Below are 24,821 nucleotides of genomic sequence, written 5' to 3'. Positions count from 1 at the left end.
AATTAAGATTATAATATAGAAATAATTTTATATTTTACTTTTTACTTAATATTTTTATTGTTCCCATGTCATTTAATAATAGATTGAATAATTCATTTAATAAATGTTCAGAAATTTATTCAATCTTATTCTTATTGTGGAACATATAGGTTGTTAAGTTTTGAACATAATGTTCTAATGTAAAATTTTGTCCGTAAGCTTTTGGTGTTTTGATTATTTTCTTTAGGTAGATTCCTTGAAAGGAGATTGAAACATTGCCAAATCACCACCAGAAAGACTAAATTCATGCTATCACCAGCATTGTATGATTGCCATAACTACATCCTTTTAACATTCAGGATTTATCTATGTATTTATTTTAAAATCTTTGTCAAATTGGTAGGCCCCAAAAAAGAAAAAAGATACTTCACTATTTAAATTTGAATTTCTTTGATTATAATTGAGGTTGAAATTTTAAAAGTTTTATTAGTTATTCACTTTCTGCTTTTTACTTGTTATAACTTTCTATTGTATTTAGAAATTTTCTATGACCATTTTTATATTAGTGCTAATAGTCATGTATCATAATTTTTTCAAATAATCATCACTGACCCCTATTTGACTATTTTTCCAGTTGACATTTTTCAACTAAAAGAAGTTTGAAATTTTTCTGTGGTTTAAGATTTTTGATGTTTTTCTCTGTAATATCCTTTATAGTTTTACACCTAAAATAAATAATATGATGGGGGTTTATTCTTTCTTTTGGTAAGACCCATTAAAAAATTTGGCCTCCTGGAATCCTTTCCCCTCAGACAATGTGAACATGGGCACATACTCACCCATCCATGCCTTTTTAAAAAATGTAATGTCAATAATTGTAGATAAACTCATCCATGGATTCACTGGGCTTCTACCCTCACTTAATCTTCCCAGGGGCTTTTTTTGCCATTTCAGAATTATTTTAACTTGTAGTATTTTAGCTTGTTTTTAACCACTTAGTATTTTTTTGCCACTTAGTGTTTTTTGTTTGCTTATATTGAACCACTATTAAAAAACTTCATTTTTTTTAAGTGGTACTTTGAAATGGTTTGTTCTTATGAAATTACTTTAAGACTTGTAATCATTTCTAGCTCCAGGTAACTTTCTCATTGCTTGAGGAGATGAGCTCCTGGGTTACTATACTTTCTCTGATATTCCTATGTCATAATTCTTAGTGATTTCAGTATCCTTGTTTCTCCCTGATGCCACCTTAGTCACTCTTGCATACTACAGATCACATCATTACAAATTACTGTGGCTCTTCTATTATCTCAGTATCAGGCATCCTAATCACTAACCACCAACCATCTTCTATTTCACACCTTTGAGTGTCCTAACACAACCATTCTCAACCCTAGCAAGACCTACAAGACATTGATCCTAACACCTTTGCAAAATCTTAACCTCTTTTCATGTCTTCATTTTTCTCTCTTCTGAGCTTAAATCTCATGGCCAGTCCAAATCATTGCCATGCATATACTCTCAGTTCCCTTTTCCCTCTTTCATTTTGTCAGATCCGCTTGGCTAAACCTTAATTCTGGTTTAAACCAAGTCTCCACTTTTTCATGGGTGTACCCATGAACATGACCAGAGAAAAACACAGAGGCATGCTGGAGTTTTCACTTTAAGTTCACAATCACTAATCTCAAGTGGGCCCTTAATGCTGCTCAGTAATTATGCTCTATATCCCTAGTCTATCACCTCTTCCCCTCACCTAGGTGACTTTTTTTTTTTTTTTTTTTTTTTGAGACAGAGTTTCACTGTGTCCTCCGGGCTGGAGTGCAGTGGTGCGATCTCAGCTCACTGCAGCCTCCGCCTCCTGGGTTAAAGCAATTCTCCGCCTCAGCCTCCCGAATAGCTGGGATTACAGGCACCCACCACCACGCCTGGCTAATTTTTTGTATTTTTAGTAGAGATGGGGTTTCACCATCTTGGCCAGGCTGATCTTGAACTGACCTCGTGATTCACCCGCCTCAGTCTCCCAAAGTGTTGGGGTTACAGGTGTGAGCCAATGCACCAGGCCGATGACTATTTCATAGCTTCTCTTCTCTCTTCAAATGTTCAAACTATCCTCCTCTATTCTATCAGCTGATGACCTTGTTTCCTATTTTATAAGAAATTTGAAACAAACAGAAGACAACTTCTACATACTGCTGCTACCAGGTCTAACCTCATCCTACTTACCCCATCTGTTCTCATATCTTCTGTCTTCTCTGTGGTTACTATGGGATCTATTCTAGCTAGGGCCAACTTCTCCATTGTGTACTAGTCCCATTTATCTTTGCTGAATCAAGGATATTGCTTTAGCAGTTCTCTCTCTTTCATATGTATTATTTTTTTTCCACCTACTGGATTATTCTTTCAACACAGAAAATATTATGACTTCTTTTATCTTAAAAACAAGAAAACTCTTGATGCCACATTTTTTCTCTAGCTGTTGCCTTATTTCCTTCCTTCACTTTCCAGTGGATGTTTTAAAGAATTGTCTCTAGTTCTTCTTTTGCCAGTTTCTCTTCCAGTTCCAGCAGACTTTTGCCCTCAGTATTTTACCCAAACTGCTATTATTCACGTCATCAATGGCCTCCTTTTTGCTGAATCCAATGGTCAGTACTCAGCCCTCATCTTATTTTATTAAGTAGCAACATAAATAATTGCTGATCACTCTCGTCTCTTTGAAATACTCTCTGCACTTAGCTTCCAGGATACAACGCCTCCTGGTTTTCTTCCTGCTTCACTAACTACTCTGTCAGTCCCCTTGACTAATTTTCTTATGTCTCCAGCCAACTAAGGTTCAGTCCTTTGATAATCTCTTTTTCTACACTTATTCCTAATGGCTTTATTTAGTCTTCTGGCTTTGCTCAGACTTTTCCCCTGAACTGTAGACTCTTATATCCAACTGCCCGCTCAGCATCTCCTCTTAGATGTCTAATAGGCTGCCCAATTTAACATGTTTAGAACTGAGCTCTTGCTATTCCCTCCTCAAATCTCTCACAGTCTTCCTCACTTTAATAAATAGCAGATCTACCAGTTGCTCAGGCCAAAAAAACTTTGGAGCCTTTCTTGACTCCTCTTTTTCTCTCACACCCCACATCTGTCACCAAATCCCCTTGGCTGTACTTTGAAAATATATCCAGAACCTGATGACTGTTTCTTACTTTGTCCACTTCTACCACTTTGGTTCAGCCTCCATAATATTTTACATTAGTTTCTTTGCTGATTCTGTTTTTGTACACTTGGTCTCCTATAGTGAATGTTCAATACAAACAACCAGACTAATGCTGTTAAAATAAAAGTCACATTGGGCCACCCTCCCATGCCTTCCATTTCATTTGGAGTAAACGCCAAAGTCCTTCCAGTAGCCTACCAGATTTTACATGGTTTGTACTCCCTTCATCTCTTTGCTCGTCTTCTTTTATAACCACTCTTTCTCTCCACTCCACCACAGTACTTTTCCTGTTGTTCCTTGACCATTGACCATCAGTGAACTAAAATATGCTTCTTAGGGTACAAGTGGCATAAGGCTATCAGGAATATGTATCCTTTTTTGTTAGAAGTAAAAATTAATAAAGTTTTGATAAATATTCTATAAGCATGTGATGAATAGGGATAAGAATATGGTAGGACATTTATGAAGAAAAGATAAGTTATACTACAGTAAATGTCAGGATTGGAACTCTAGTAATTACAGCAGACCTGACATAAGCTAACTATGTGTGGAAAGGCTATTTATAGAAAAATATTTGTCTATTTTTGTTTAATCGTAATGGCATATATTTTTCCTTTGCTCTGAACTGATAAAATATAGTAAACAGTACCAAGTTGCTTTACTCAAGAAACATGGAGAATTTGCTGGAATGATATGAAAGGCACAGAGAGTATTAAAGTGTTAGAAACTAAGACCTTTTGAGATAGGCCAAAGGTGGCTAAAAGGACCAAGATAAAACCGACAGTGAAAAACTAGGTTGGTAAAGTATAGATTATTTTTATTTTCTTCAGGAATTATGGGAGTTTTTATAGTAGTAAGTAGGATTGTTTTGTTGTTTTTTAAAGTGGTAGCTGTAATCATCATGTTAAATCTTTCATGTGTGTGTTTAGAGAAAATGATCAATTCATTGAATTGCATGGAGTTTTAAATTATGGCTTTATAATTTAAAAATTATTATATTTAAAATGTTGCTACATTTGACAAATAAAGCTATTTTTGGAATCACCTGCTATATCATATTTTTGCAATTATTGCTGTTTATCATTTTTAAGAAAATTCTGTTTATTTGAAGATAACTTAAGCATGCCTCTTTTAAATCATTTAAACCCATTTTTGTTATGTAGGTCTTCCTGTGCTTTCAGAAAGTTGCTGCTGAAATCCTTGGGATCAAATTAAACAAAGCAGAAATAGAACAGTCACAGGTGATTACCTTGAACTTTATATTTAAAAAATTAATGAATTTCTTACAAGGCATTAATTTTCACCCATAAATTCTTTCCCATTTATGCCTTCTGTGTACGTATCTCTAAAAGCTTTGGGAATAGATTGTATGTATGAATCAGTGTTTATTGCAGAAGATGGAGAATGTTAACTTTTTGCCAAATTATGATACCCTTGAAACCTCATTTTGTCTCTTTTGTTGGGAAAAAGATACTAGTATAAGAAAATTTTTATTAGTGGTTAACTAATGAGTTAAGGTGCTGACCACATTGTTTGGCACTTCTTTATTTAAATCCTTTTGGAGCCTCTATTCAATTTTAAAACATCCTTGACTGTAGTGATATTAGTTTTTGATGTTATTTTATTGTCAGTTTAGTAGTGTTATTAATTAGTAAGGATTTCTATGTTTTTTCACTATTCCTAGATAGTTTTCTTAGGCTAAGAAAAAAACATGCATAGCGGCAGCCAAGAAATTTAAAGTACCACTATAATTTCCCACTAATTCATATGTTTGATAGAATGAAAAATCAGAGTAAGAGCCTATAAAGTTATGCTTCAGAAGTGGTTTGGTTAGAAGTAACAAACTAATTACATTTTTGCTCAATTTCTTCCACCCCATTCGCACCCTGTGCAACTAAAAAAGTATAATTATCTTTTCCCATCCTTAAATTTTTCTTGAATTCTTTTAGAGTTAGTTCTGTATCTTTTTCTCATGGTCTCTCTCTCTCTCTGTGTGTGTGTGTGTGTGTGTGTGTGTTTTAAAACAATTGAAGCAAATATTTGAAATTGTTACACTGATATGGCTGTTTCTAAGACTTGATTAAAACATTTGAAACTCTAAAAGTTTGCTAGTTTTAATTCCCATCATTCAAAGACATTTGTTTTAGCACTTGGTATGGCCAAATACAGTGCTAAGATACTTTGTGATGTTTAAATAGCTCCCAGACACAGAAAAAGTGGTTACTTGTTTTGGGCCTAGGAGAATATAGGAAAGAGAAGTCACCATGATTTGCTTGATCACACAGACCTTGGATCCCAGAGGTCAAGTAATTTGTTTGCTTTTTAGCTTCTCTGTCTAAATAATGTTTGTCTCTGCTTAGTTAGAGAGTCTATGATTATCATAAGTGATTTATTGGTCATACATTGTAAACTCAGTATAGTGGTGGGTCTAAAAAAGAATTAAAAGACTTTAAAATGTCCCTGCTTTTAGTAAAGAAAATTAATAGGTTATGTGCCAGGGGGACTGTGTTATCTCAGTTATCCTCATAATAACTCCCTGGATCAGGTGAAATTTTATCATTTTATGATCAGGAAGCTGAGACTGTGGAGAGACTCAGTAACTTGATCACTAACCATTAATTGGGCAGTGGTGGAGCCAGAATTTGCACCCAGGTCTCTCTGACACCAATGCCCTTGGTATTTCCACTCTGCCATACTGGGGGAAAGTGTACTGGGCAGTTTGGAGTGGGAAGGGAGAAAATGGCTGAAAGAGGAGCTGGTATGAATAATATACCTGGGTAGAAAAGGTTAGGTTGTATTTTGGAAACAGAAGAGCAGTTTGGTTAAAATAAATGACCATTTGTGTTAGAGTATAAAGAGTTTGAGAACAGATTTTGGGGATTTATGAATGCCAAGTTGATTAATTTTATTAGACCTATAATCATTTTGAGGTAGGGCAATAAATGAAAGCAGTTTTTAGGTAGAATTAATCTAATGGGATATTTTTATATGTCGTTGGATGGGAGGGAGATTGAGGTAAGGAGACTGAGTTACTGCTACCATGTGAAAAAGACCAAAGTCAAGATGGAATGGAAAGGTTGGATGGATGTAAGGGAGATTTTAAAGAAGAACCAATAGGGCTTGTGGAATTATTGGATAAGAGAGGATAGAAGTCTGAGATAACCCTGAGGTTTCTTGCCTGGAGGAATGAAGACAGGAGAAACCCAATGATTGGTTGTCTTTCTGAAAAGGGGAATGGTGGGCTGGTGCTTCACAGGTGAGAGGGCTGCACTGAGGAAGGATTCCTTGTACTGCCTGAGCTGTGCAGTGGTGATCAGATACAAGGAGACCTCTGGAGAAATGAAACAACTGGAGGCAAAATTTGGGGGAAGCTTTATTAACATTAGGTCCCTCATGTTGCAAGATCAACAGGGTTACTATTTTGACTTTAGATATGGGCTTAATATCCTAGTGTGTTTTAAATAAAGAGATATTAGATGTGTTAACTACATAGTTCCCTACCCTCCCTGCACATCTACTTTGTTTATTATGCTTTGAGGTTTAATTCTATCTTCAGTTTGTTGGTGGCATTTACTCTTAATGCATTCATTTGAAGGTGAATTCAAGTTACTGCAGCACTCTTCTATATGTTTGTCAAAATTCTTTGTGTATAGCAAGAATCCTTATTAGTCTTTCTTGATCCTGATGAATTTGGTGTTTTTGCCAATTAAATTATTGATTTTACAATTCATATTTCTCAGTGGAAACATTTTGGCAAGTTCATCTAAAAGACTAAGAAGTGCAGATTATATATATATACACACACACATATATACACACACACACATACATACATACATACATATATATACACACACATACACACTGCATGTGGTTGTTGCGACATTTGAAAGATTACTGGGGGGATTCAAGGGAATGTTTGAAAGTACTTTGTATTATTCTATAGAGAAGGAGTTAAATGGCAGACTCACCAGTCCCATTGATGTTGATGCTCTACTATAATAATTTAGTTTGTGACATAAATATTTACAGTGAGGTTTTAGTCCTAGTTTCATTCACTGACAATTTAAAGAGATTCTGCTAGTTTATTTCTAACCTAGATTGCTCCTATTTGGGAGTTATATAAAATGAGTTATCAACACACTTTGCAAGCTTTGCAAGGAAGAGGAAGAGAGAGAAAAGAAAGTGAATGCAGTTTATTAACACAGTAACCATATTTTGAGGGTCTGTGTAATGCCAGGGGGCCACACTAGAATCTGGGGATACAGAAATGAATAAGAGAAAGTCCCTATCCTCAAGGAGCTCCCAGAATAAGTGGGGCAGCCAAACATTTAAACAATGAACACTATAGATCCATTTTTCACAATTCCCAATTTGGTTAATAGTTTCATTTGCATCATTTATGTAGTCTTCCCCTTCTCCACTACCAACCATTATCCTCTAAGGTAGTGTAAGAATTGATACTGTTGTTAACAAGTGTTCTAGTTTCCCAGATTGTTCAGATTTTTTATTTGCAAAGTACATAGACCTTTAGGAGAAAAAATAAATTTACAATTGCCGTTGTTTAGGAAATCCAGCAATCGGCTCTTTAAGAATGCATTAGATAATTGATAAAGAAAAAGCATAGTCCTTTCAGTCCTGTCTTGTGTCCTTCAGTCTGAATTGCAAGGAAGTTTTGCCATATCTACTTGGTGTTAAGAATTCTTAATACATTTTTAAGCCTCAGCATTTTTACTTGCCAATTAATAAACTGTGAATTTCTACTTGGTTTGAACTAGGTATGTATTAGTTTTTAAAATACCAAAAATTTCTATCATGTCTGAGATATTCATTAAACTTGCTAAAAATATATATTCCTTATTGTCCCCTCAAATTATTTTCAGACTGTATCTGAAAGTATCTCATGTAAGGCTTGGCATGTAATAGACATGCTCAAGATTTTAGTTACCTTAATTTGCATATTATTGTACAGTACAAGTACCCATTTAACCTTTGGTATTAAGAATCCTTTCTGCTTTTTAGCTTTACCTGAATGTTGATCTTCCTCAGATTCTTCTTACCCACATGTTAATTTTTTACGATCATTTTCTCCAGTATGTTTATTAAAACTGTACTGGGATTTCTTTCTTATCCTAAAGACCACTTGTTTTCTTGAGGGGGATATTTTCTCATTTTGTACATACTACTCTAACCCTCAGATATTGAACGTTGCTTAATGGATTTTCATATTACATAACATTTTTTCTTTTTCCTATTCACCTTTTAAATTAATTTTTTAAATAAAATTTCAAAACCAGATGGGACTTTAGAGATCATGTAGGTAGACCTTGTTTTTATAGATTAGGAAATTGCGAAGACAGAAGACATGAAATAACTTGCCCAATGTTTTGTTACTGGCAGCATATAATAGCCCATTCGTTATATAGAAGAGTAGCTTTTAAAAAACTCCCACTCTGTGCAAAGTACTATGCTTTTTAACATGTTATATCCTATATCCATGCTTTAAATTGTGTTCTGTAATCTTGTTGCACTTTGAATGTATGCCAGTCAGAATATTCTTTAGTAGTTTACACATCTGTTTTCTGTGCTAGACTCTTAGCATCTCAAAAAAACAGAGATTATGCATTATTTACCTAAATGTCTGTAATATCTGGGATGGTGGTTGGCTTTGAATGAATGACAGTGACAGATGTTTTAGCCTTCAGGGTATGTTTACTCCATATCCTGGCCATGACAAACTATGGCTTTTGCACAGAGTCCATCTATACTCCTTACACCTTGTGCCCCAACCCATAGGTTGCTTTCTTGCTTATGCCCTCCATGGCTGCCACTTCCATTTCCAGTATACACTTGGCAAATGCTCTTTGAAAATATCAGGGTTAAGCTTGTATTCACCCATATAACTCTTTTCCTCTTAGGGCCATTTCATTATTTTCATTTCATCAACTAATAGAGAATAATCGAGTGTGCTTTGTGGCTCTAAAAATAAAGGTTGGTATTTTATAGGTAACATTTTCTCTAAAAACATCAATAAATGGCTTTTAAATAAGCTGACTACAGTGAAACCACCTACCATGAAGTTTATGACATGGAAATTATGTTTTTCTAATCATAGAAAGTGAAATTTGGAATCTGCAGAGCCTTGGTTATGGCTTACAGTTCGGAAACATTTTACAAAGCTTTATGTCAAAGAGTCAAAGCCCCTGAGAATGATGCTGTCTTGTTAATTCTTCATTAATTTGATGAAAATTAATAATGAAATCCAAGTCATTTACATTAGTCAGTACTTGGACCAAAATGTTTTGAGCACAGGACAGTAATCTGGTTGTGTTTATAGGATAAGACTTAAACCAACATTTTGTTGGATTAATGAGTTGCTTACTGATTATGAAAATCCCATCTCTTCATTGTAACCCATAGTTTGGCATGAAACAGTTAGGTTTGGGGAGGTTAGATAATGGTATACAATATTTCACTGATGTACCCCCCGATTCATACCTCATTTGGCAGTTGGTAATGCTTCTGTTGATAGCATCAGGCAGAGTGCCTAGTAAATCATGAGTCTTGTCCAAAAGTTAATGCTGCTTGTTGCTAAAGAACTGAAGCAGAAGCCACCCAAGGCTAATATGTTCGTATGCCTCAGCATCCTATTCATTTACTCTCGATTGTTTATAGGATCTTTATTTATAAATGTAGTCACACACAGCAGCTCATATTAAGATGCTTTTCTATCTTAATAAATTAATAGATGCTATTATGAAGGGTATGTGTCCTGAAATAAGTTATTTGCAATCACATGGATAGCGAGGATAGGTTTAAATCTAAAATATTTGGGTAACATGTTATCTGTGTCATACATATTTGTCACATATGGTCTTTTTATCCTAAGGGTAGCAGCAATTAAGAATATAACAAGGTAAAAATAAATAGTTTCTTATTTAGTAAAACTCTTAGATATTTGAAAGCAACAGTTATTGTACTTAAATATTGTACCTTGTGATTTTTTTTTTACATGACCTGCAACTGCATTTTGAACTTGTTTGTTTCTGTATGGAATTTGGAAGTATGGAGGTTAGGATCGGGAGGAATGGGGGAGCGAGCATCATAAGGAAGTCTTGGACAAGTAATAAATAGTATTAAATATAAAAATTGTAAATGGCATATGCCTTCCTCTGATGTCTTCATTCCTCTCCCCACCTTCAAAGATAATTAATTACTCCTTCCTCTGTGTTCCCACAGCATATTATAAGTCCACTAGTTAAGTGTTTAACTTGTATGGCAATTAGTTGTATATGTGTTTCTCTTTCCATTAGGGCCTCAGCAACTTGTGAATAGATTCTGTGTAAGTCGCCCATACTTTCACAGTATAGAGTGACTGGCACATAGTATATCTTCAGTAAAGCTTGTTAATGGAAATGGAATTAATCCTTTTATTGCACTTTAACATAGAAAAACCTCATAATTCTTCACAGTCTTCTGAAATTCTGGGCATTATATATGTTATATATAATTGTGTTATCAAAAATGGAACTTACAATTTGGGAAGTTCAGTGGTCATATCTATTTCAGTAATTAAATAGAATTACAAAGAATAATGTTTCTTGGGTCTTTGTTCCTTTCCTTTTCTTTCCTTTTGTATGTGTACATTCTGCTGTTTGTGTGTGCGTGTGTGTGTGAGACATGTTTACATTTATATGTTAATTTTATTTTTCTACTTTGGTGTTTCCTTCTATATTCAGTCATTGAACATACTTTCCATTTTGTCTTTTTTTTTTTAATTCTTTTTTCTTTGTCTCATTTATGTTGTATGGAATTGACAGCGTATTGTCAGGGCAGAAATAGTGAAGTACCCGGAAGAAGAAAATCAACATACCACCTCTACTCAGAGTAGAATCTGTTCAGTACAGTAGTGCAGGTATTAAGTGATAAATTATTACAGTTTGGGGAGGTGGGAAGGGAGAACCATTGAATGCTATCTTGTTCTTTATTCCCTATGAATAGGGAAGTTCAGATGATTATTGTACATTATTGGAAGTTAATATCACGTCTACGTCTTGATTTAGAACTAAAAAATTGGTCCTCTGCCAGGAGACATGAATTAAGAAATTGGGAACAAATTAAAATAACATTTCAGTTACTTTTAAACATATTTGTCTTTATGGTTGTGTTTATTACATGTGCAGTGAAGTGGAGAATTGAGGCAGTTATTTCATTATTCATTCCTTACCATTTTTCCTGAAATAGCTTGGTAATTGAAAGAGTATTTTTAAAATTTGCTTTGAATTGCCCTTCTTTGTCTGCTTGTGTGTGCAGACTTTGTAGAGTTGAAAACAGTAAAGGATTTGTTTTAAAGTATTACTTAGAGATGAATATTAAGCATATTGCTAAGTGTATCATTTTAGATGTTCCTTGAAGTGTGTGTTAGAGGGAAGGAGGGAAGAGTTAAAATTATCTTTTGGTTTAAATTATTTTAAAAACATGAATATGAAGTAATTTTCTAAATTTTTTCATCATACTCTTTTTTGTTAGAGTTGTATTCATAACCAATAGTGAGCCATTTGGAAATAGGGATTTTGGAGGAAAGGTTTAGAAGTTGGAAAAGATTTAAAAATGGGTTGCTCAGAATATTTCTGCTTTATATGTGAATCCTCTTTAACATTTAAATGTCTTCTTCCAAACTCACAAACTGCTGTAAACATTCAATGAAAAGTTTTCGCTAAATATAATGGCTTATGGAAATATTAATCAATAATGCTATTTTTTACTTTGAAATGATGAGTTCTTTTCTATGATTTAAAATATATGTGAATGATTTATTTATTTTGCTCTAAATTATTATCAGGGTTTAATTTTTCATTATTGATTTGTCAGTTTTTCATTAGACTTATGATAACCTCAAGTTAATGTCATAAAACCAGGGACAACTCAGTAGCTGAGTTGCCATTCTCTTCTTGAAAAAAAAAAATCCACTCTTTGTTTGTTTGTCTGGCTTATTCTTTTAATATCAACTCCTGCTTCATTTATGGTGTCCATCATCAGAAGTTCAGCAAAGTTCAGAAAATAAAAATATACTTTAAGGAGCTCTTTCTAAATGTTCTGATATCCTGATAATAACTCTGTTTTCTTTTATGACAGAGGGTGGTGAAGGCAGATATTGTAAACTACAACCAGGAACCTATGTCAAGGACTGTTAACCCTCCTAGAAGCTCTATGTGTGCAGTTCAGTGAGCGCATTTTTCTTTTGTGTTGATAGTTCTGGCTGCCCTTCACCTCTGGGTGGGCCCGAGGACTTCTAGGAACTTGTTTTATCAGTGACCATCTCTGTAGTTCAGTTAACACTTTACTCCCAACTTGCTTCATCATTGCTATTGCCTCACAGTGGCAGGCAGCTCCTTGGATTTGAAAGAATTCAACTTTGGGACCACACACTTTGAATTCAAAATGGAAAACCCATTCCCTGGAATTAGACTGCTTCATTGCAAAAGAATGATGTTGTTTCTTTGTATGTCCTTGCTTCTTTTTTCATTGATGTAAATTTTTTTAACTTAATATGAAAACTCTCCAAGTCTTGATCATCAGCCAGGATTTTGCCACAGCAATTTCATTCTCTTATCGGAACTTGTATGTGTCAAAGTATACTTCAGAGTGCAAACATTAAGCAAGTAATATATTTTACCTACAGATACTTATGAAGACATTCTTTCGCTATCGTGAGTAAAAGTATATAAAGCTGTTTCTAACTGAAAATGCTTGAAATAAGCCTGTAATAGAAATATTTTTTCATTTTTTAAAAAAGGGCCTAAATTGTTTATATTGTAGTTTGTAACTCACAAAGTAATATTTGATATTGTATTTTTATTACTGTATCGTTGTCGTTATGTATTGTGTAATACTCAGGTTTGAAGGCTTTCTGAATTCTGATAAATGTTCAGCTGATGCTCCACGTGGAATTTCTCTTGCAAACTGCATAAGAGTACTCCCGAGAATGAGTTATGACATTGTGGATCAGACTGTACCTGATGTTCAGATGTTTTTCTTTCACAAATAAACTTATTTAAATTACTTCTTTTGGCAATTTTCTTTCAGACATCTTCCTTTTTGTTACAGAAAGGCAGTGTGCATTTGGATACAAAATTAGTGATTCTGTGAAGTTTAGTATATAGTCAGTCACTTAGAATTGTTAGGTTATTTTGTTGGACCAATTAAAATCCAGACTCCATAGCTTGGCATTTCAGGGGCTCCACATCAGCTGCCTCCTGCCTTTCTACCTCTTCTCATGCCACTCCACTGTACCATCATCACTTCTCTGCAAACAGAGCTATGGACTCATTCCTATTTGTTTTGTGATGCTCCACAGGACTCTGTTTGTCTTGGTCATAGTTTTTTTTTTTTTTTTTTTTTTTTGTGCTAAGACACAGTGCCTGGCATGACTGGTGCTCCATATTTGCTACATTGAAGTGGGAACAAAAGCCACCCTTCCACAAAGCCAGTGCTTGTCTCCACAGCTCACAGTTCCACATCAGTACCTCTCTGATAGCCACTGCCCCTTTCTGCTTTGAATCGCTGCTATTTGTGCCCCTGTTTTTTATTGTTTAATAATCCATGAGCTCATTGAAGGGCTGCTCTAGTCTCTTCTCTCTCATGTCTCTTATGGTGCCTGGCAGCGTGCCTTTGTCATAGATTTGCCACAAGTGTGTGTAGAAATTTGGATACCTAATTTTAGAGGTGTAAGGGATTTTGGAAAACTTTGTTCCCTTCCTTACGTGGCTAAGGAAACCGAAGTGTGGACAGAAAAAGTAACTTGCCAGAGATCATTGAATCATAGAGCTAGACTTGATAGATCTGTCTCTAGGCTGAGAAATTAAAAAAAAATTAATTAAAAAATTTTGAAAACTGTGACTCTAGTTGTTAGTGGGTCCAGCCTCTTTCTATTTTGATTTTTATATTTTTCATTTTATAATAATTTAGCAGACTTTTAAGACCTTCAAGTGATAAACCCTTCAAGCTATTGCAGCTTATCTTCCTAATATGTGCAGGCCAGTTGACTAGGGATGTTAATAGAATATAAAGTTGAATAAATGAGCTCTCAACCCTCGAGGACTTTACAATCTAGTGGGAGAGATGTTTGTTGTTATTGCTGCTATTTTAAAAGCTGTGATTGATTGAAGCCTTCTATTAAACTAAACTTGCCCAAGGCTTTACATTTAGTAAAAGGTGAGGCCATGCTCCGCTTGGTCATTTTGTGTTGATTTCACCTCCATCTATGTGAAAACTGAAGGATTTTCAAAAAATTTTTTTCCGGCCAATACAATTACTACAGTACGATAAAGTATGACTTCACACATATGTATGAATTTCAATTTGCAATTTCAGAGAGAAATTGCAAAAGGTCTATGAGACCGAATTTTTTTAGTGGTGTGTTTATAAACTTAGAGCACTGCGTGGGACTGAGCAGGGGCCAGGGAAGAAAATGACGTTGGTAGGCGTTCTTTGGCCTGAACATTTCTAGGTATTTGTTACATGGACTGTTTTACTTTCACACCCGTCTGTGAGAGGGGAATTATTGCCTCCTCTCTTAGAGGAAACCGAAGCTGAGACTAAGTGATGATACGAAAGGCCTTCCTTCAGTAAGGGGTAGAGCCAGGGGCTACACAAATTGGTTCTGTGACAGAATGGACTACGCTGGTGCTGGTTTTAGGCTGCCTTTCATTTGTGAAGATCACATAACTGACGCCCTTCCTGAGAGTTAAATAGGTCTTAGTTTAAGCTGTTCTTTTGAGAAGTGGCGATGGGCCTGTGTGGTCCATCCGCCCTCGCACAGTGACTACCTTGACCAGTAGCATGTGTCCACAGGGGCTGGTGGTGGGAAGTTTGCCCTCTGATCACTCAGATGAAACAGGAATTGCCCCTCTGTACCCTCCTGCCTGCCTTTAGTCTCGTTGGCATTATGTCTCTCCCAGCTGAGCATGAGTGGTCGTTGAGAGCCTTTTGCCTCAAGGAAAGCAGATGCAGTACAGCATATGGCCAAAGCGGATTTCTGAATTCCATATTACAATTTTCCCCATACCTCGGGTTTTATTTTTGAAACAGAAATGTAGGATTCATGCTTATTTTACTTTGTTACCTCTCCTGTCTGTAGTTTTTAATTTAAAAAATTACAAGTCTTTCCATCTAGTTTTAGGCACTTTGTCTCCTGAAGACACATGCTATAAAGTTTCAAACACATTGTGGTCACTTCTGCTGCTTATTGAGCTTTTGAAAAACACAGAAGTCTTCAACCAGAACTGGTCATTGGATGCTGCCTTTCAAGTGCACCCTCTATTATGTGTGGCCAACCACTCTGGAGTGGTTTTTGGAGTGGCCCAAAGAACTCCTGTGACTGCTTTATTATTCCAGGAGGAGGTAAGCCAGGGCCCTTTAAAGTTGATCACTGAAACAATGTGATGGAGCAGAATAGTTTGTGTGTCGTCTAAAAATAGAAAAGTTTTCTGGCCATAACCTGTGCTAGTGGTTGCTGTAATCTCGGATATCCTGAACAACAGTTGCAAGATTTAAAGGAAACTGAAATGCAGACCTGTTTAACATTACGGTAGACATCCATGGGTCACCTCCCCAGCACACATGTCGCCTCTCCAAACAGTTTCCTAATTTCCTGATAGAACCCTCCCTCAATTTTCAACTGCTTCTAGCTCCTCATGAGGGAGTCCTCACTGAATTAAACCCATCAGGATATTAAACCCCCTCGCCCCAGTAATTCGCTCTGAAATGAACTGATAACTCCATCATAGCTAATGAAATTGGAGGGGACATTTGCTAAGGTTTCTGAAAAAAGGAAAGAAAAAAGAAATGTTTGCCCCCATAAGTTTTCAGAAGACTCTTTGCCAGCTGGACTGGAATGAGAAAGGCTGTGGCTCTGAGTGACACTGGCGGCCATCTTGAGGCCACAAGGGGAGAGCTCGACCGAGGATGGTGCTGATGACAAGAAAGCAGAGGTGGAAAGTGGCGATGATTGAAGTCCCTGTCACCATCTTTGAGCCCTGGATCCAGCCATGCCTTGAACTGTTCAGCAGAGAATTAATTTTTATTTATTTATTTATTTTTATCATTTAGACCAGTGTTATTTTATTTTTTGGTTACTTCTTATATTGGCACCTATTATGTACTAGGGCCTTTGCTTGGTACCAGAAACAGAGATGAATATGATCTGTGTTTTGCCCACAAATTCATAGTCTAGGACTCATCAAAATGTAATCAGATTGTTACATGCTGCAATCAAACTAATATAAGAAGATGTAACTTAGCAGTGAGTGTGGGAAAAAAACAGGAATTTCAAATAACAGGAAACAGGGATGACAGTGTAACACAGTTGCTCTCACAAACTAGCATAATCGTAGCCTGCATTAATTAGGGGTGTGCCTATGAATCACCTGTGGATCTTGATTCAGTAGGTGTGGGGTGGGTCTGAGGTTGTGCATTTGTAACAGGCTCCCAAGTGATGCAAATGCTACTGGCTTTTGGATTACACTTTGAATTGCAAGGGATTAGACCATGCCTGTATGGATGCCCCTCTTTAAGGGGATAATAAATCACATTCAGATTATAGTGAGGGGATTCAATGTCATAGGAAATAGTGGAAGGAAGACAGTATGTTTAATATGGAAAAGAGAAGGCCTCACACAGACTCTGCTGATAGTCTTCAAATAAGTAAGAGAGTGCGCTTTAGAAAAACATTGTATTTGTACTATAGGACCTAGAGTACCCCAGAAATAGGAGGGGTAGAGAGAGGCTATGGGAAGATTTCCATTCAGCCTAATAAAGAACCTTGAAAACAGTTGCTTCCCAAAGATGGAAGGGATTGCTTTATGAGGTTTCGTATCATGTTGCAGGGTTTTAAACTTACAAGCCTTCCGGGGCTAGGTGGTAAATAAATATAACAGAGGTTAAGAGTGTAAGATCATAGGGAGTGGTGGGGATTGACAAGCTGGAGAGCATGTGCCCTGCCTAAAGTCATTTTGATTCAGTTTTTAAAGTTATATTGACCAGCTAAAAACTATGTATGGATAGGGCCACGACTAGCTTATACAGAGCTTTTGTGCCAGTTAGAAAAAGTATGTTTCTTCCGCAAGTCATTTTATTTCCTTCTTTTAGAAAATTGTCTGACTATTTCTTTTTAAAAACAAGGCATTTTATTGTCCTGGAAAATGGGTGATAAAAGTACAACATTGGTGGCCCTACGGTTGGTAGGACCCTATGGATGGACTGGATTCATAGCCCTATGGTAGTAGCCCTATGGATGGACTGGATTCAGCCCTCTGGAGCCCAGGTTACAACCTTTCTGACTGTAAACCTGTTTCTGGATGTAAAGCTGATGAAATTAGGAGAGAAAAGTATTTGTCTAACATTTTCAGAGAGCAAAATCATAGTGTTCAGGCTAGGAAGGCCCTAGGAACATGGGAGGCACAGCGTCTACCCTCAGGGAGATTTGGGGCTGGAGGAGGAAGCAGGTAAGTTAGCAGGGCATTGTGGCACTCGAGGTATCAAGAGAGAATCCATCTGTGGTGTGTGTATTCAGGGCAGACAGCAGGTCAGTTCTACCTAAAGAGTAGGGGGACAGATTTAATAGAGGAGGTGAGGCTTGGAGAGAAAACCTTGAGTGTAACAACCTTCACATCATAGCATCCTTTCTCCTGGGAAGTGAGCCTTTCAGTAGAGGAGGGCCCTTTGGGCTGAGCTCAGAAGCACATACATTCCATTTTGCCTAGCCTTTTGTAGCATCAGTTTTTCATGCTGGAGAGCTGGAAACGAGGAAAGGCAGACTATTTGTTTTAAAGCCCTTCTTCCAAGTCATATTGAATGTTCTTAGGCCTCCCACATGGTAGATTGAGGCTGACTCAGGCCTGTAGGCTGGGCAGAGATCACTGGCACAGCCTATACACCAGCCTTTAGCTGCCCTCACCTAAGCCTCTTGACTTGGTCCCTTAATCCTTAATTAATCTGGAATCCACAGGTTACACAGGGATATGTTTCCTAGATACTGTGACTCTCAAGCCCCTTCTCCTTTCCCACTACTGCTGCTTGTGTCCCCAGATGCCTGGACTTCTCCAACAGCCTTTCTCTTTAGAGACCTCCACAATCTGCTGAATACACAGCTGTGTTTAGGTCACTTTTGCATTCAAAACCCCTCAATAGCTCCCTACTGCCTTTCCCATCAAAGGAAGACAGATTCCTCAGCCTGACATTCAGAATCTTCTTAACATCTTCCCTACCCTTCTTTCTAAAACATCTGTTCATCTTCAACTCTGGTGAGCACTTTGCTCTAGCAAGTGGTTCCTCAGTCTGCATCTTTGCAGAGATTTTCTCTACGGGAAGAAAGACCTTGGATAGGGCAAGGTAGAAAACCTGCTTTTTCTCCTAGCTCAAAAACCAACTCCATGTGTGACTAGTCAAACCATTTAACCTCTCTGGGCTCAGTTTCCTCATCTGAAAAAAACAGGACGTTGGACAAGAGCAGGGATCTGGGACCTATTTGTTGAGTACAGTTATATGCACTCTTTCTCATCAGTATGGCTTATTTATTATGGGTGCAGTACAGGTGCACTGAGCTCTTTGTAAGCATTTTCTCATTTCACATAGGTGGTAGTCAGCCTTCAAGATGGTTCCAATGATCCTTGCCTCCTGGTATTCACCTTTGTGAATCCCCTCTCACATTAAATCAGAACTAACCTGCCATCCATAGAAACGGATGTGGTATGTGATTTTCGAGGCGAGATCATAAAAGGCATTGTCAACTTCCTCCTTGGCCCCTTCAATTGCCCCTTCTGAGGAAAGCCAGACACCATGCTGTGAGGACACTGAAGCAGCAATGTGGAGACTGCTATGGAGAGAAGACCTCCCACCAACAGCTACCACCAACTTGCCAGTCCTTTGTTAACAGCCAGCTTGGAAGCAAATCTTCCGGCCCCAGTTAGGCCTTCATGTGACTGCAGCCTCACCAAAGACCCAGAACTAGTTGAACTGCCCCCCAAATTTCTGATCCAAAGAAACTATGAGATAATAAATGATCATTGTTGTTGTAAGCCCCTAAGTCTTTGAGTAATTTGCTTCACAGCAATAGATAACTAATACCATGGGTATTTGTATTATCTCTGACAGATGAGGAAAATGAGGCTCAGAGCAACTGAATAGCCCATCTGAGGTTGTGAACTGGTGAGTGATGGGAAAGGGATGCAAATCCAGGTCTGCCTGACTTCTCACCCATCACGTTATACGCCTCATGCTGCAGTGACCCTCTGTCAGGTTCAGAGTAAGTGCTTATTACACAGTTTCAAGTGAACGAACAAACTGTTTTCATGACTGAATATATAAATCTGTTACACAAGTATATATTTAGAAAAGGAGCCCATAAAAATAAAGAATGAATATTTTCAATCTCATTAAATCAGGTTGAATTTTCCTGTTGCTTAGGACTAATTTCTTCAAAAATGTTAGTCTCCTAAAATGAAAACTTTATGCTCAAGAATAAAATAAAGAACAAAAAAATTTTAGTCTCCAATGAAAGTAATCCTATTATTTGTTCTGATTACATAAATATTGTAAAATAATACACAGAAAAATAAATTAGAATCACCCCCTCTCCTGCTCAATATTACTGACGTTTTGGTTAAAAGCCATCTTCCAGGTTTCTCTCTAGATATAAATACACATATCTGGAAGCTATATTTACACATAAGTTGCATTATATTAAATAACTAATTTGAAATTTGCTTTTTTCACTGAGTGATACAAGCATTTTTCTACATCCCTAAGTATACATATCCATCATTATTATTGACTTAATGGTTTTCAAGTATATAGTTTAATGATAATTTAGTTCATCATTCTCCTATGTCCCCAAGTTTTCACTATTATTAGAAACTATGTTTTGTTGAATACCCTATGTATATCTTTCTATATTTTCTTTTATATATTTACCCTCAGGATAAATTCCTAGAAGTAGAATGGCTTGTTCAAAGAGTATTTTGAAAGTATCTTATATCTTCATAAATTTTGCCAAACTGTCTTTCAGAAATATTGTCCTAACTTATATTGCTAATTGCACATGAAAGTGTCCACTTCCCTGTGACCTTGGCAACAGTAGAAACAGTAAATTCCGCATGTAAAGTTTAGTGGGTGTGCTGACTTGTTTGGTCTCCTACACGGCACTAATGAGAACTGACTTTTGTCAATAATTGTGAGCAGAGGCAGATATGATCTTTGCACGGTAGTGAAGATCCATGCCTAGAGGGACGTCTTCTTGTGCCTCTATTTTGGTCTGAACATATTTTAGTAATGTCAGATTGTTTCTTTTACACCCAGTAAATATCCTTAGAAACCTTTCATTCAAAATCGTTTATTCTAACTTGAGTTGTATAAAGTCACAGCACACCAGTGGCTTATTAAAACAAAGGTAACCAACCTTCCATATAAGGAGGCTTTGTTTTCCTGATGTTTTTCTCCCTTCCTCTGAAGCCTGCTTGTCAGAAGTTACCCCTCTTACACCCCCTTGCTTGTATATCATACCTCCTTCTCTGGTAGCACTGTTATGCCATCCTGCAGCCATAAGGCTACTTGTCCCATTTTCTTTTAGACCATGAACTCACTAAGGCCAAAAATCTGGCGCCTGGCACCAAAGATGTCCCCAGTAAAGGTTTATTGAATGAATAAAACCTATCTATATTGTAGGTTGTCATGAGTAACTAAACAGCCCATGGAGTGAGCTGGCAAGAGCTCTGTCATGGAGACAGTAAGCAGAAGGACTAAACTTGTCTCAGCCACTCATTTGAGTGACCTTGGGCAGATTCTTCCACCTCTGTCAGGCTCTGTTTCTTTCTGCAGTTAGTTTGTTGAGTGATATCAATGGTCTCCAAACCTGGTTGGTCATCAGAATCACCTGGAATCCTCACTGGGTGCAGGGCTCTGGGTTCTTTTAAGAACCACCGGACAAACTCATCTTTATATCTACCTTTCCATTACTTGACCAAGAACATATTGCCAGCAGTGAGCTTCAGTTGGCAAATCTATAAAATGGGGATGATAACCATGGTGGCTGCCCTGAGAACTTCATGGGGCTGAGGAGAAGTTCTAATTATGGGGGGAAGGACCTCGAAACATAGCAGTTCTAAACAAGTATGTGAACTGCTGGTCTTTTCTGTCTGCTTTTTTCAATGGGACTTGGAGTGCAGTTTTGACTAAACAACCCTAATTGAGAACTCGTGGCTCCCTTGATTATGGATAGGAAATCCTTTGCTGAGGCCCTGTCTTTTGCTTCTCTCACTAGCAGTCCAGATTCCCTTGAAATATTCCCTCCCTTGCGGAAATCCGCTCTAACCTGGGTGTGGAAGATTATCTCTCTCCAGCTTCCCAGAGACACTTGGCTCTTGAGCCAACTTAACCATTTCTTCTCACTCCACTCTCCCCCTTCTGTCCCTTACTCTGATCCTCTGACTTTTTCTCAAATTTGTCTTCCACTTGGCAGATGGCCCACTAGCAGAATGGCTAGCTTCCCTATGTTGGGTCAGGGTGTAGGGATGATGCTGTAGAAAGCTGCCAGAATGCAGAGCAAACCAAGATGTGGGTGCTGTCTCATTACTCCTTTCACAACCAAGTACAGAAGGACCTCATCCTGTTTGGTTTGGGTTCTGTCTTTGGAGGCCCACCCCTGAAGACAGTTGAAGATGAGGAACAGAAAAGGGAAGATAGAGGGAAGGGCTGAAAGATTTATCAAGTAGCTGCTATGCGCCAGGTTCCAAGCTGGACCCTTTGTATATATTTTAATAACAGCCAACCTTGATAGCACTCCTGATTTGCCAGGCAACTTACACAGAGTATCTGATTTAATCCCCGTCCCAGGCATGAAGTGAGAGTTGTCATTCTCATGTTACAGATCAGGAAGCTGAGACTTGGTGGAGGGAAATGTCGTGTCCAAGGTCACACGGTCAGCAAGAGCCAGAACCAGATTTTGAACCCTGACCTTACTGATTCGAGTCTGTCCTACCTGACAGAAATGGCATTTTTTCAGGCTCCATATTTAGCATTCAAATTTCCAGAGAAAGACCTGAACCTAGAATGGGATTTCTTTTCAATTTTTGGAGCCAAAATTATTTTAATTTTATGGCTAGGAAAATGTAAACTTACATTTTCAGCAGACCAGAGATGATAAAGTATGCATTTGTCAAATAAAATTCTTTGCTGTGATAAAGTAAATCATTCCTTGGCGTTGTAAAAAATTAGGCCTCACTTGAACTGTTTTCACTTCGGCCTTTGCTAATATTTCTGTTATCTCCATTAGGGATTACAATGATGAATGCCTTTTATTCGCATAGTTAAGCACTTCAGTGAATGTGTGAACACACAGAGCTTCATAAGTCATAGGGAGATGAAACAACATGGTCACCACAAGAAATATCTTGAGAGTCTGACAGATTGGGGTTAGCATCCTGTCTCTGCCACTCATGCGCTATACGACCTTGGCCAAATTCCTTAGCTTTTCTGGTTCTCAGTTTCCTAATGTGTAAAATATGGATAATAATACATATCTCCCTGGGTAATTTTAAGGATGGAATGAGATGACTTACTTATAGCACTTTGCACTGTATAATACCTGGCATGAAGTGAATGCATAATAAATGTCACAGTTATTATTGGAATAATTCTCAAGGCAACTAGTTATTTAATGGCAATGCCCAGGGTTCACTGAACTTAAAGTTTTTTGGCCATCAAGACTGAGTCTAGGTCGTCTTGTTCTGTGAGCCCCAGCTGCTGATGTACTTATGCTCCTCTTAGAAATAGTGCAGGCAGTAAGCAGGTGAAATTCATGAGTAGCTATCTGTTGAGATTATTTTGGCTGCAAATAATAATACCCAACTTAACATGTCTTAAATTAAGAATATTAATCGGCCGGGTATGGTGGCTCACGCCTATATTCCCAGCACTTTGGGAGGCCGAGGCTGGCAGATCATTTGAGGTCAGGAGTTTGAGACCAGCCTGGCCAACATGGTGAAACTCTATCTCTACTAAAAATACAAAAATTAGCTGGGTGTGGTGGTGCACACCTGTAATCCCAGCTACTTGGGAGGCTGAGGCAGGAGAATTGCTTGAACCTGGGAGATGGAAGTTGCAGTGAGCCAAGATTGTGCCACTGCACTCCAGCTGGGTGACAGAGTGAGACTGTCTCAAATATGTGTGTGTGTGTATATATATATATCACCTCTCATAAGAAGTATGTTCAGGGTAAGATGATCCCAGAGTTGTTTAATTAACCTGCCCAAAGATTCCACCAAGTTCCCATTTTCTTTCCTTTCTTTTCTGCCATCCTTAGCCTGTGGCTGTTAGGCTGGCTCCTTCATGATCCCAAGATGGCTGCAATAACTCCAGGCATCACATCTTTACATCACAAAATGCAAAGGTCAGAAAGAGGAAAGATGGCTCATCCTATCCTCACATCTCTTTCAAAGACAGGAAATAAATTTCCCCAAAGCCCCACCTTCCAGAAGATCTCTCATCAGTTTTTTGGGCCAGAATTTTATCAAATGTTTATCCCAGACCAGTGGTAAGGGAAATGGGCAGGGCCAGAAATTCTCAATTCTAGCTGAGAACAAATTGGGGACCTTTTAAAATAATTACAGATGTCTAGGTTCTGCCCTTAGAGGTTGATTTAATTGGGTTAAATTAAATTTAGATTTAATTTAATTTCATTTAATTGGGTGGGGCCTTGTACACACATGTGTGTGTATGTGTGTGTGTGTGAACATGTGTACACTCTGGGGAGCTCTGATGCGCATGTAACATTGAGAACCATTGGTTTAGACCATCCAAGTTTCACCTTCTGGGAGAGAGAGCATTTTAGCCTTCACTGAAGCACATGGCCACAGGATATCTGGACCAAATTGCCGTTCTAGAAAGAGGACCATGACTATTGGGTGAACATCCAAAAGAATCTGAAAGAAGCAATGGGACAGGAATGGATAACCTCTCCCACTGAGACCGTACAGTCCTGGAGTGAATGATACCCCCTAAAGGAATGAAATGCTTTCCAGTCAACCAGCACTAGAATCAGTGAAGCTGCTTATTGTTGAAAATGCATATCCCTGGGCTAAACTACAAATCCACAGTCTCTAAATCTCTGGGAGTTTGCACTTTTCACAAGATCCCTAGTTGATTCTTATGCTCACTGATGATTAAAAATAGTTGCCTAGTGGATTTCACTGCCAGCCCAATTACCACAAGCATTCTGGAAACAACAAACATCTTTTCCTAGAAAATTTAGGATATCTGGATTAGGCCATGTGGTATTGTGAAAAGAACAAGTGTTCAAATCTGACTGATCTGAGTCTGAATTCCAGTTCTGCCACCTGTACATTGCACCATTTTGGTTAACATCATCTCTTTGAGCCTCCATTGTCTTATCCACACAATCAAGAGAGTAATACCTACTTCTTAATTTTGAGATTAAATGAGATCAAGGAAATGAGAGCAGCTGACACAGATTAGGGCACAATGGATGTCAGTTAGAATTTGGGTCTTCTAACTTTCAGGCCCACACTGCCTCCCAAAATAGTTTACTGAGGTTCTTCCAAAAGCAATAGAATGGGAGCGCTAT

General features: G+C 37.6%; 1 protein-coding gene across 3 annotated transcripts in view; it reads left to right on the top strand.

The window, feature by feature from the left end:
* Positions 1-13,246, top strand: part of RAB28 (RAB28, member RAS oncogene family) — a 116,617-nt gene extending 103,371 nt beyond the window's left edge. Inside the window, exons 6-8 of one of the 3 annotated variants that reach the window (NM_004249.4) lie at positions 4,348-4,425; positions 11,005-11,099; positions 12,320-13,246. In NM_004249.4, coding sequence (NP_004240.2) covers positions 4,348-4,425; positions 11,005-11,094 — 168 coding nt within the window. In that variant the 3' untranslated portion in view covers positions 11,095-11,099; positions 12,320-13,246. Of the gene's footprint in view, positions 1-4,347; positions 4,426-9,102; positions 9,176-11,004; positions 11,100-12,319 lie in introns of all 3 variants that reach the window. The other 2 variants (NM_001159601.2, NM_001017979.3) reach the window with 2 other exon arrangements.

The sequence above is a fragment of the Homo sapiens genome, chromosome 4, assembly GCF_000001405.40.
Source record: "Homo sapiens chromosome 4, GRCh38.p14 Primary Assembly".
Classification (NCBI taxonomy): domain Eukaryota; kingdom Metazoa; phylum Chordata; class Mammalia; order Primates; family Hominidae; genus Homo; species Homo sapiens.
This window is presented reverse-complemented; position numbering and strand designations above follow the sequence as displayed.